Genomic DNA, 13,767 nt, shown 5'->3' with positions numbered 1-13,767 from the left:
TGGCCAGGCTGGTCTCGAATTCCTGACCTCAGGTGATCCTCCTCCCTCCGCCTCCCAAAGTGCTAGGATTACAGGTGTGAGCCACCGCGCCTGGCCGGAAACTTACTTTTTACTTGACATTTAGCAGTAAAACTTACCACACTGATGACAGCAAGGGGCAAAGAGCATCTGAAAGTCATGTTCACAGTACTTTCTTCCTTCAAACTGAAAGAGAGGGTACCACCAACTTACAAACACGAAACAATCACAGGAGAAATATAATTATTTGATGAAGATATACAGGAAAGATGTTTCTAAACTAAGAGTTCTACTCTAAGAATTTATAACTCTACTGGGATTTTAAAAAGCAGATACTCTTTTGCACCATCCATACATCTACATGTTGGTACAGGAAAGACATATGGAATAAGTAGAGGCTAGAGTGAACAGTACACCTACAGGGACTGGTGACCTGGCCTCTGACTGTGCTGAATTGTTTTCTGGCTCAAATACCCTGCCTTTAATGAATCTGATGAAAGCTATGGATCACCTCTCCCTCCAGAAAATATGCACATACATACAACTCTCCTCCCACATTTTTCAGGTCGATATCTGTAATTCTCACTGTAACCTCAAATATTTACAAAGGGCAAATATTTTAGCACATTGTATTTTATTATTTTTTTAAATGGGAGTCTTGCTATGTTGCCTAGGCTAGTTCTTGGACTCCTGGCCCAAAGCAATCCTCCTACCTCAGTCTCTCAAAGCACTGGGACCACAGGCGTTAGCCAGTAGCTCAGCCCTAGCACATTTTAAAATGACCAAAATCCATTAAAAAACATTCTCTTAACAGCCAAGATTTTTACATCTTTCATTTCTTGAACTGTTTTCATTTTATGTGCTCCAATTTTATCCTAGTATATTTTTGTACTTGTCTTTAACTGATCACCCTATCATACTTTTCTGCAATTAAAAAATATATATAACATGAAATTTTAAAATGTGCTTTCTGAATCCATAAGGCTGTAAAGGTTAACATTTATTTTCTTCTGTATTATCATTAGAATGATTAGTATAGGACAAGCAAGACACAAATATTAATTTTTTTATACTATGTTTACTTGAAAAGCATATCTTAGTGATAGTGAAATGAGTAGGGCTGCCCTTTCCTCCCACAATTATTTCATGTATCTCATGCATCAATATGGCTTTCCACTAGAAGACTCAGGTTCAATATTAATTCTAGGTCTATTTTCTATTTTGGGTGTTCCTTTTTTTTTTTTAATAGAGAAATGCTAAGAAGCCTTTTTCACATTACTAACTTGTGAGAAATGTTATAGTAATGTCTCCCCTTGAGTCTTCGAGCTCCTTACAAGTTATATGCCAAAAGTCATACACTGTTTGATTATTAAAATCCATTTTTAATGATATCCATTTTTAATGTATCAGTTGGCAACTCAATTTCCTCAAATTATGGCTATAGATTTAGTGCATCCAATTTAGTGAACATATCTACCACAGCTTAACTGGCAAAGTCAGTTCCTACTGTTGAACCAACCAAAGCAGATTTTCTCCTAGAAAAAATAACTTTTTTTTTTTTCCCAGAGTCTCGCTCTGTTGCCCAGTCTGGAGTGCAGTGGTACAATCTTGGCTCACTGTAACCTCTGCCTCTTGGGTTCAGGCGATTCTCCTGCCTCAGCCTCCTGAGTAGCTGGGATTACAGGCGCCCACCACCATGTCCAGCTAATTTTTGTATTCTTAGTAGAGATGGGGTTTCACCATGTTGGCCAGGCTGGTCTCGAACTCCTGACCTCAAGTGATCCTCCCGCCTTTGGCCTCCCAAAGTGCTGGGATTACAGGTGTGAGCTACTATGTCCAGCTTTCACTTTTTAATTCAAATGAATAAGCTGTAATATATTTAATGTATCTTTTTGTTTTTAGACTAGTTCTTGCTATGTTGTTCAGGCTTGTCTTGAACGCTTGGGCTCAAGTGATCCTTCTACATCAGCCTCTTGAGTAGCTGGGATTACAGGCACACACTACCTTGCCCAGATTAATGTATTTGGTTTTTAAAGTTTATTAACAGAAGAGAATAAATTGATATGCTATTACTCGATACTATGCCATACTACATTATAATGTGCAGCCAAAAGTACAAGTATTTATGAAGCACGATATATTTCTGATGAATGTATGCCATCTATATGTATAAAAATCTGATGTTTAGCTTTTAGCAGTAATTAATGGAACTACCATATGATCCAGCAATCTCACTACTGGGAATATATCCAAAGGAAATGGAATCAGTATGTGGAAGAGATATCTGCACTCTCATGTTTACTGCAGCACTATTCACAACAGCCAAGATTTGGAAGCAACCTAACTTTCCATCAGCGGATGAATGGATTAAAAAAATATGGTACATATACCCAGCGGAGTACTCTTTGGCCATAAAAAAGAATGAGATCCTGTCATCTGTGGCGACATGGATGAACCTGTAGGACATTACATTAAGTGAAATAAGCACAGAAGGACAAATACTACATGATCTCACTCATATGTGGAATCTAAAGAGGTTGATTTCATAGAAATAGAGAGTAAAATAGAGGTTGCTGGAGGCTGGGGAGAATGGAGTGGAGGGGATGGGGAGAAGATGGTCAATGGGTACAAAGTTACAGTTAGGACGAATAAGTTCTAGTGTTCTATTGCACAGTAGAGTGACTTTGGTTAATAATATATTGCATTTCAAAATATTTCAAAATAGCTATTTCAAAATAGCTAGAAAAGGGATATTTTGAATGTTCTTACGACAAAGAAATTATAAATGTACAAGGTGATGGATACGTTAAATACCCTGATTTGATTTTTACACAATGTATACATGTATTGAAACATCACACTGTGCCCCATGTGTGTAATTATTATGTCAATTAGAAACAAAAAAACAAAATGACCACAAAACAGCCTTCTGTATCTGCTGGGTCTGCATCCTTGGATTCGATCAACCAAGGATAAAAAAATATGTGGAAGAAAAAACCCCAAACAATAAAAAATACCAATAGAAAAATAAAAATAATACAAATTTAAAAACACAGTGTAACAACTATGTACATAGCATTTACATTTTATTAGCTATTGTTTAAGTAATCTAGAGATAATGAAAAGTATACAGGAGGATGTGCATAGGTTATATGCAAGTAAGTATACCATTTTATATCAGGGACTTGAGCATTCAAAGATTTTGGTAAGCTCTGAGGGTGAGGTGGGAGTGGGGTGGAGGGGGTGTCCTGGAACCAATCCTCTGTGGATACCATAAGACGACTGTGTAAAAACTCATAAATAACTCCATTAGTTAGAAATGATCAACTTTTATTCTGTATTAAATGAAAGAGAAAGATGTATATTGCATAAAAACACTAAAAAGTAGCCCAGCAGTATATATATATATATATATTTTTTTTTTTTTTAAAAAAGGTTGAAAATATAATCACTGTATATGATAAAATAAAATTAGGATTAACTATAATTTGGAAACATCTTTTAACAAGACAGGTAGGAGTCAAGAACACTGACCATGGATCCAGACTGCCTGCGTTCAAAATCTGGCTGAAAGACTCATTGTGTGGCCTTGGGCAAGTTGCTTAACCTCTTAGGGCCTCCCAAGAGTCAAAAAGCGATACTGCTTTGGTCTGTTTGTTCTAGCTCATGGCATACCCTCACTGTGACATTGTGAAATACATATTTGGTCTTCCTCCCAGTTTCTTGGCATACAGCTCCTAAAATCCTTGGAATCTTAAAAGTGATGTCTTTGTATATGTTAATGAGGTGCCTCCTGACTGGCAGCCCCTAGGTAGATTTAGGATGGGACTGGTTACCAGAAAGACCAAGGCAGAATCGGATGGTTGGGGTTTTCAGCCCCACCCTCCAGCCTTCAGGAAAGGCAGAGAGGAGCTGAAGGTTAAGTTGATCACCAGTGGCCAAGTGTTTAATTCATCATGCCTACATAATGAAGCCTCCGTAAAAATTTAAAAGGACAGGGTGCAGACAGCTTCTGGATAGCTGAACACAGTGTAGTTTCCCAGAGGGTGGTGCAGCCAGAGAAGGTGTGGAAGCTCTGACCACCTTCCCCTATATACCTCACCCTACGTATCTCTTCAGCTGTATCCTTTGTAATATCCTTTTTAAAAATTTATTTTATTATTATTATTTTTTTTTTCAGAAACGGTCTTGCCCTGTTTTTTCAGGCTGGAGTGCAGTGGCATGATTATAGCTCACTGTAGCCTCCAACTCCTAGGCTCAAATGATCTTCCCACCTCAGCCTCCCAAGTAGCTGGGACTGTGTGTGCCATCATGCCTGGCTAATTTTGTTATTTTTTGTAGAGACAGGATCTCACTATGTTGTCCAGGCTGCTCTTGAACTCCTGGCTTCAAGCAATCCTCCCACCTGAGTCTCTCAAAGTGCTAGGATTACAGGTGTGCTCTACCGTGCCTGGCTGGTAATATTGTTTAGAATAAACTGGTAGAGCCAGGCATGGTAGCATGTGCCTATAGTCCCAGCTACTGGGGAGGCTGAGGCAGGAAGACTGCCTGAGTCCACGAGATGGAGACTGCAGTGAACTGTGATTGTTCCACTGCACTCCAGTTTAGGTGACAGAGCTTGACTTTGTCTCAAAACAAACAAATAAACATAATACTAATAATAAACCAGTAAAAGTGTTTCCCTGAGCTCTGTGAGTTGCTCTAGCAAATTAATAGAACCAGAAGAGGAAGCTGTGGGATTCCCAATTTACAGAGCATGTCAGCCAGAAGGACAGGTGAAGCAATCTGGGGCTTTCAGTTGGCATCAGAAGGAGGACAGTCCTGGGGCTGCCCCTCAGTCTGTGGTCTCCAGGTAGATAGTGTGGGAATTGAATTGGAGAACGCCCAGCTGGTGTCCACTGCAGAACCGATTGCTTGCTTGGCGTGTGGTGAAGTTCCCACACGTTTGGTCACAGAAGAACTTGTGTTGATTGTTGTGGTGTGCAAGCAGAGGGAAAATGGTTTGTGTTTTCTATCCACCTCATTCACAATTTCTTACCAATGTTCTTTGCTTTGCTCTCCCAGAGCTTTCCCTTAAAATGGATAAATTCTTCTGAAATTAGTCAGGGGATGAAAAAGGCTAAGTCCTAAAAGGAAAGCTGTTGGCTGGGCGCAGTGGCTCATGCCTGTAATCTCAGCACTTTGGAAGGCCGAGGTGGGCAGATAATGAGATCAGGAGTTCGATACCAGCCTGACCAACATGGTGAAACCTGTCTCTACTAAAAATACAAAAATTAGCCAGACGTGGTGGCATGCGCCTGGATTCCTAGCTACTGAGGAGGCTGAGGCAGGAGAATCGCTTGAATCCAGGAGGTGGAGGTTGCAGTGAGCCAAGATCACACCACTGCACTCCAGCCTGGGCGACAGAGCGAAACTCTGTCTCAAAAAAAATAAATAAATAAAAAATAAAAATAAATTAAAAAGGAAAGCTGTTGTAACTACTGCCTACGTCTCTAAATTCAGCATATGCAGTCATCCGCCAGATAACATTTCTGTCAACAATGGACCATATATACTACCATGGTATATGGTATATTTACTGTACTTTTTCTGCTTGGATACTTTTAGATACACAATACTCACCATTGTGTTACAACTGCCTGCAGTATTCTGTATAGTAACATGCTGTACAGGTTTGTAGCCTAGGAGGGATAGGCCATACCATATAGACTAGATGTGTTGTAGGCTATGACATTTAGGTTTGTTAAATACATTCTCTGATGTTTGCACAACAATGAACTTGCCTAATGACACCTTTCTCAGACATTTCCCTGTGGTTAAGGGGCGTGCATATCTGTACCTGAATACAGAATATCCAACACAGTTCCTAAAGCCAAGCTTCTACTTAATGAGAAAATACATAAGGCAGGGAAAGACTGAGCCTTATGGGTTTCAGCACTCCCTAACTAATCCTTTTTGATGGGTATCCTGGAGCAATTAATGATAGTAAGATTTGGGATCTCTTTCTTTTGCAATGTGAGAGAAGTACTATTGTGAATATAAATATGTTTTCAGGCAAAGAGAAAAGGATCCAGAAATTGAGTCCTTCAAAACCAGAATAGGAGGACTTAGAAATAGATTTCCTTGCCACCATTCATCCTGCAAATCTCTTGCACTCTGGGCTATGCTTCTCCAGTGTCACAACTATTGTTAATTCCAGGTGGAGAACTTCTGCTATAATGAGCTGCCTCTTTTCTACAGTGTGTAGAAATGATCAAACATAGTATAGCTCAACTTTTGAGCCTGAGAGAAAGGCCAGAAGTTGATCCAAAGTAAAACTCTATGATATAAAATTTTTTAAAAATCAAGAATCATAAATTGGGAAGATTTAAATTTCTATAAATATAGCCTTTCTAGGTAACTACACATTACATCCCCAAACTGATTTAAACAACGAATACAATAAGCCTGTTAGAAATATTAATGGTCCAAATTAGTATGGTCCAAATTGTTTATAAACAAAATGCCTTAAGAACCCTGGGGTCCCACCGCTTGTGGAAATGGGTCGCTCTGTGTGGGGGAAGATGAGCTCCAAGAATGGCTCTAACTGTTTTAAGTTTTGGAGTTCTGTAAATATTCCCTTTAGGGGAAGAAACAATTATTCTGAGCTGCTTTCAAGTAAGCTCAGAACCGGAAACCAGCTGAAAGTCTCATTTCCAGTCAAGTGCAAAGTTGCAAATCTTCCTTTGGTACTTTATACTGGTTTGTCATAAACTGCCTTGAAGTGAGTGGATCCACAGATAAACAGATGTGCTGGTTGGAAGGGTCTTCCATTTCAGTTTCTGCCTTCCTGAATAATCAGAGTAAATGAGTGAAGAAACCTCTTTGTAAAACATCTTGCTACAAGACTACTCATCATAAACGGGTCTTTCCTGGCCAGGCATAGTGGCTCACTCCTGTAATCCCAGCACTTTGGGAGAACGAGGCGAGCGGATCACCTGAGGTCGGGAGTTTGAGACCAGCCTGACCAACATGGAGAAACCCCGTCTCTAATAAAAATGCAAAATTAGCTGGGCATGGTGGCGCCTGCCTGTAATCCCAGCTACTTGGGAGCCTCAGGCAGGAGAAGCACTCGAGGCCGCAAGGTGGAGGTTGCGGTGAGCCAAGATCGCACATTTGCACTCCATCCTGGGCAACAAGAGTGAAACTCTGTCTCAAAAAAAATAAAAATAAAAATAAAAAATTAAAAAAATGGGTCTTTACTGTTAATGCATTTTGTGATGGGAAAAAAGGGACACATTTGTGAAATCCAAACTAAGGAGAGAGAAATGTGAAGCACCAACAAAGAACCCAGCCCTGAGCATGTACTAAGTCAGGGTTAATCAGCTGCACACCAGGTCCCTAGTCCTTGGTTCAGTCCATCCCACTCTGCAATACTTCCTGGACTTAAATCACTCTTGTAACTGTTGGCTCCGCTTCACTCCCAAAAGTATTTTCTTATGGGAAAAATTAAAATACTTCTTTTACTGGAGATAATGCTGGATGTCACAAAGATTTAGGAACCACTATAGTTAGCGTTAGGGCCTCTGGGTTGAAAGGGTATTTCCCTGGGTAAATGGCATCTAATCACTTGAGCTCAGGAGTTCGAGACCAGCCTGGGCAACAGGGCAAGACCCTGTTTCTGCAAAAAAAATTTTTTTAATTATCTGGCTGTGGTAGTGTGTGCCTGTAGTCCTAGCTACTAGGGAGGCTGAGGTGGGAGGATTGCTTGAGCCCAGGAAGTCAAGGCTGCAGTGAGCCATGATTGTGCCACTGCACTCCAGCCTGGGTAACACGGTAAGACCCTGTCTTAAGAAAAAGAAAAGAAAGAAAAAAAAAGAGAAACTGTAGTTGAGACAGAAATACTGGTGCTCATTTCTTCAGATATATGTTCTGGTAAGTGGTTAGGAAACAAGGATCTCATTCTATACTTGCCTCTGTGGCCAAAGGGAAGAATGTCCTATTTAATTCAAAGTACCAGAAAGTTCTACCATAAAAGTAAATCACATTTTCAAGGGGAAGTGAGTGCACAGACCCCATTTCTAAGTCTCCCTAACTAGTCTTCTAGAGAAAAGAAAAAATAGAGGCTGTGGAAATCAGGGAAGGAAGTTGTTCTGATAACGAGACAAAAGCAATAACAAAGATATAGAGTGGCGAAGATGCATTTATTATACAAAGACTGAAGCACATCAGTCATGTCCCAAATGGAAGGCAAACTGGGTAAGTTTCCAAGCTTTCTTTTCTGGAAAACAACTTATTGCTGGATATAACTGAAAGTGAAGATTATTTGTTAGCAGTCTTGGATAGTTTTTTTCTCTAATATCATTTAACCAAAAAGAAATGTCTTATTCTCCAGATGCAGGTTTACACATCCCTGGGCTGGTTTTAATGATAAACAATTTAGCCAAAATAGTAATCTTCCTCAGGACCCAACAGATCTTGAACTGGGCAACAGCCCATGAATAGCCTAGTTCTGGGTATTCATCGCATCTTTTGGAATAACAGCACACAGACCCAGGGAGGGTATTTATAGTCCAGTGTGAGGGGTGGGCAGGACGAGATGAGTCACACTTTATTCTTCACTGCTCAAGGCTGTTCTGAGCTTTTCCCTCTGACTCAGCACCAGTGGCCTCACAGCTGACAGGGCCTAAATGCGGCAGCAGGAGCTCAGGAAGCGGTCATGCTGCTTAATGAAGGTAGCTTAACCATCATGTTCGTTCCTAAGTCACAGGCAAAATGGGAGAAAGAAGGTGACGGAGGGCTGGAGCTACAGGGTGCTCACAGGGGAAAGAGCAAGCCAGGGATATAAGGAAAATGTCTGGAAAAACAAAGCCTGTCTTTTTCTCTGAGTTCTTCTCTATTGCTCCCCTGGACCGAGCTCTCCTAAGGCCTTTGTCATAATTGCCCATTTCAATAAAAATATCTTATATTTAAAAAGAATATGTAAGGGAAAGAATATTGTATTAGATACTAGGAGACCAGCTAGGCTCTCATCTCTTTCATGTCGCAAACCTGCTATGTTATCAGACATTTCAACCTCTCTGGACTACAGGAGAGAAAAAAAAGAAGGGAGGGATACAGAAGGGATTCATATAGTGAGAAGACCATGCTCTCTCCAAGCCAGCTTTCCAGAATTCCCTTCAATGTGCCTTGGGAGTCTCACCTCCTTCCTTGCCATAGTCCCCGCAGGCCTCCATGGTGCCGAGGTAGAAGTAGGTCCTCAGGTCCCTTTAACTGAATTGAGTCATGGCTCACCACCACTACCACCAGCAAACGCCCTCTCTTCTTGCTGCCGCAGCACCTAGGGATTTCCTATTCCTTCTCCTCACCAGCTAATCACAATCTACCTATAGCCTCAGTAGGGGGTCTCTATGCCTGATGCCTCCATTCACACCTCTGGAGCTCCTCTCCTGCCCTCTTCTGCTGTGGTACATTGGCCTCTCCTGCTCCTGTCCATCTTCACAACTGTCATTTGCCCATCCCTAAATCCATCATCCTTGCCCAAAAGATTCCCACTGCCCAGGGAAGGAGTCAGGAAGAACAGGAAGAACTGTAAGAAGATACATAGAGCATGTTTGGAGGCCTAAAGAAATAAAGTTAAAAAAAAAAAAAGAACTAGAAGAAAAGAGAAAACGAAAACCTCTTTCCACTGCTAAGGTTTTTGTTGTTGGGAATGTGTGTTTTGGGGACACAATAGGAGCTTAAAAAAATGTGTGCTAGTGAATAAAATAGCATTCCTTAACCCAAACCCTTAAAGCTGTTTCCAAGTTGACATTATTACATACTTGCTAGCCCTGTATTTCATGTACCCATGATGGGGTAAACAGCTTTTCTGTGGGCTGGCCTGGGAACCCCACTCTCATGTTTGTTTCTATGGGAAAATGCTGCCGGAGTGGCATACAATGGACTTACCAATGATCTTTGTCAACTACCTTTCCTTGCTCAAGCATGGTTTATATAACAGGGAAACATAAAAATCTGCTAGGCAAAAGAAGAAATCAAAGAGCAGCCATCTCCAGCTATAAAATAATTCTATATACATATATTATCATATATAGATGTGCATTTACGTACAAATATGTAAGAAGTAAGGTGGTAAAAGTAAATTACCTATTTGATCTAACACACACATACACCTCACTCTCACCTTCATTTATAGCCTGGGGTCAGCATTTCTAGATTATCCCCCAAAATACATGTTTACTGTGAGAAAGGAGTTTCAGTAGGCCAGACATGGTGGTTCATACCTGTAATCCTAGCACTTTGGGAGGCCGAGGATCACCTGAGCCCAGGAGTTTGAGACCAGCCTGGGCAACATAGGGAGACTCCGTTTCTATGAAAAATAAAATTAGTCGGGCATGGTGGCACGTGCCTGTAGCCCCAGCTACTCAGGAGGCTGAGGCTGGAGGATCACTTGAGCTTAGCAGTTCAAGGCTGCAATGAGCTATAATCATGCCACTACACTCTAGCCTGGGCTATACAATGAGACTTTGTCTCAAACAAAACAAAACAATAAAAAACAACAAGAAAGGGGTTTCGGTAATGTTGAAAATACCAAATACACTACAAAGGAAGTGCAGACCATATGCTAACACCCGAGGATCAAGAAAAACAAATATTTAGAAAAGAACATAGACACCCAGGAGAGCTAAATGTAGACAGTATAGTTCCCTAAAATACTTATTTTTTTTTCCCTTAGAAAATAAATGCATGGACGCTCCTGGCTCGAGGCTGGGAAGTTGTGGAGGGGGTGACGTACACCACACGCTCTCCTTTAGAGCAGGTCCAGTGGTCCTCTGAGAAGGGGGAAAGACACAGAGACAGGAGTGGGTGAGGTGTGTGGGGGGCCTGAGTGTGGCTGAAGACTCAGAAAGAATTTTCTATGTGGAGCTGAGCTGCTTAGGTCTGAAAGGCTCTGTCATAAGGGACTCTGGGTTCTGAAATAGGACGATGAACTGAGCAATACAAATGCAGGGTCTGTGAGGGTGTCCCAATCATGCCACTGCCCATATGGGCCATAGAGATGCCACCTCTGACCTCACAGCTATCAAATACCTGGCATGCATGTGGCACTTCAGTCTTTCATCATGAAACTGAACATGAAGGAGGAGGCCTCAGGAAAGAAGGGCAGGAAGCGGGAGGGCGGGGAATGGCACCTCCCTGCTTTTGTCCAGTGCAACTCACCTCATAGAAGAGTCCTTCTGGGAACTGCTGGAAGCACTGAGCGCACACGAAACACTGCTCATGGTACAGCTCCCCATTACTGTTCACGATCTTCTCAGCGGGCGCAAAGCCGCCCTTGCAGCGCTCGCAAGTGGCGCTGGCCAGGGCGTTGGCCATGTTGCTGTAACACGCAAAGAACAGCAGGTTGCAGACCGTCAGCCACTTCTTAGATCGAAGATCAAACAACACTAAGAACCGAGCAGCAAATTCTATCTGATCACAAAAACCCTATTTTATCTAAAAAGCTCAATTTCTTGCTTGTTCCTTACATGCTCTGAACTCGGACTCTTCAGCCTCTTTACCGTAGCATCTGAGGCTCTGTAAGGGTGTCCCACTTTGATTCTGTTTCTAACATTTTTGGCATTCTTCTTGCTGAATATACTATGAGTGAGTGCCTACTATGTGTTAGGCACCTGAGACAGAGATGAAAGTTACAAGCTGCTCTCAAGGAATTGGGTTTATAGCTTAATAAGTAGCTTAATTAAAATATCCAAAAGTCAACATCTCAAGGCCAGTTTCTTTCCCTTCTGAGAACAGAATCTAAAATGCATGTCAACTAAATGCCATGTCATATAACCTAGACACGGGTTATCCCTTTGATTAAATCCTGTGGAAAACAACTGCTTAAGTAGCCTTAAAACCAGCCAAGATGCCCCAGTCCTGTTACCTAATCGGTAAGACGAACCTGATTACCAATATTATAAAATGTATCTTAAAATCACAGAATTTTACATAATAAAGATCATTTTACAGATGGCAAAACAGGTTCACAGAGATGGAAGGATCAGACCAACATCACAAGGCTAATTAGTTAAAGGAAGGCGCAGGACTAGAAATCCAGGTCCCCTGCTCATAAAATCACACTGTCAATCAAAACAGATTACACCACGAATTTCAAACACTTGAAAGGACATGACAGGGATACCACCACGTTTCATAGGTTAGGAAAGTGACACCAGGTTGTCAAGTAACCACTGCTGCGGCTGGTGACGTGGGAAATTCCCCCATCGGTAGCCTCACTACACCTTAAAACACAGAAGGCATTCAATAAATAATCTCAGGCTCTAACCACTGTGCAGTTTGGAAGAAGGAAAGCAACATGGCAGATGGCTGCAGTGGCTCACGCCTGTAATCCCAGGACTTTGGGAGGCTGAGGACAGTGGATTACTTGAGGTCAGGAGTTCGAGACCAGCCTGACCAACATGGTAAAACCTCGTCTCTAGTAAAAATTCAAAATTAGCCGGGTGTGGTGGCACATGCCTGTAGTCCCAGCTACTTGGGAGGCTGAGGCAGGAGAATCACTTGAACCTGGGAGGCGGAGGTTGCAGTGAGCCAAGATCTTGCCACTGCACTCCAGCCTGGACAACAAGAACAAAACTCCATTTCAAAAAAGAAAAAGGAAAAGAAAAGCAACATGGCTTTGACAGGCATACAATTAGATGAGGATTTCACGTGAAGACCTATTTATTTCTTAAAAGTCCTAGAAATGGAGAAGGTCCCCCATGCCAAGCGGTCCTTCAATTTTTGGCAAGTTTATTTTCACAGGCCTACCCACAGCATGAGCTCTACACCTGTGTGTCTAGTTCCCTGGTACAGCTTCTGACCTTCCAGATATTTAATCAATGTACTTCATGAAGTTATTACCAATGTTCTCCTGAATTTTCACAACCAACTAGTGAGACAGACAGGTAGACAGTCTCCATTCTATAAACAGAGTAACTAACTGCCTTGCCCCTATTGGTTTCCAAGTTTTGCTGTTTCCTTAGCAAAAGTGGTTCCACTTACTTGCTTCACTCCCCTCCACACCTCTGGAAGACAACTTTCCCTTTGCCTTTCTCCCCAAAATGTTTCACAAAACAGTCATCCTGTTTTGTAGCCTTGCCATAAATAACTGCGTGCAGACACACCATGTTCATCACTTCAGACCCGTCAAAGCTCAACTTTATTTAACAGGTTTGAATGCAGAATTAAAATGTCACAAAAAAAAGGAAGGAAGGGAGAAAGGGAAGCAGCTTCACTGCTCAGTAAACCTGGCCCAAGCCTCATGTTAAAATGAATTTCCATTCTGTCATTTCAAAGTTACTGTAGGTTGGGGAAAAAATCTGTAAAATTCTCATCATCGCCCAGCTTTGCCGTAAGCCAGATGATTGTGGCAGTTTTACAAAACTCTGGAGGGGTTTGTGCTTCTTCCCTCTTTCTGACCAAAGTCCACAGGTATTCCTGGATGAAGGAGCACGGTAAGCTCCACATCTGCCTGGTCATTCTCAGTGCTGTTCTCATTATTGTTCTGAGGAAAAAGTATTTTAAACTATTTGGAAACCGTAAGATGCTGCTCATATATATGGCTCTGTTGTTAATTCTAAACCCTCTCAAAAGATTCACCAAACCTCAACAATCTTAATGGGACTCTAAAAAAGCCCAAAAAGAATATTCTAGAATGTCCTGGATCATTATCACCTAAATCAGTCGTTTTCAAAATGTCAGCGTCACCATGACCCTTTCAGGAGG

At 41.6% G+C, this 13,767-nt stretch overlaps 1 protein-coding gene across 16 annotated transcripts in view, besides 1 other annotated feature; it reads right to left on the bottom strand.

The window, feature by feature from the left end:
* Positions 1–13,767, bottom strand: part of LIMS1 (LIM zinc finger domain containing 1) — a 153,576-nt gene that overhangs the window by 16,262 nt on the left and 123,547 nt on the right. For 13 of the 16 annotated variants that reach the window (NM_001371496.1, NM_001371495.1, NM_001394896.1 and 10 more), the window contains exons 2-3: positions 11,221–11,380; positions 138–204 (exon numbers count right to left, since the gene is read on the bottom strand). In NM_001371496.1, coding sequence (NP_001358425.1) covers positions 138–204; positions 11,221–11,380 — 227 coding nt within the window. Of the gene's footprint in view, positions 1–137; positions 205–8,182; positions 8,757–11,220; positions 11,381–13,767 lie in introns of those variants that run through there. The other 3 variants (NM_001394898.1, NM_001371500.1, NM_001371499.1) reach the window with 1 other exon arrangement.
* Positions 8,518–8,812: an enhancer, noted in NCBI's record as "tiled region #6630; HepG2 Activating non-DNase unmatched - State 17:Gen3', and K562 Activating DNase unmatched - State 5:Enh". NCBI's record gives its function as "activates a minimal TATA promoter and a strong SV40 promoter by Sharpr-MPRA in HepG2 and K562 cells {active_cell/tissue: HepG2 | K562}" and the evidence as "EXISTENCE:reporter gene assay evidence [ECO:0000049][PMID:27701403]".

This window comes from Homo sapiens, chromosome 2, assembly GCF_000001405.40.
Source record: "Homo sapiens chromosome 2, GRCh38.p14 Primary Assembly".
Classification (NCBI taxonomy): Eukaryota; Metazoa; Chordata; class Mammalia; order Primates; family Hominidae; genus Homo; species Homo sapiens.
The sequence above is the reverse complement of the archived record's forward strand: the minus strand, read 5'-3'. Positions and strand labels throughout refer to the sequence as shown.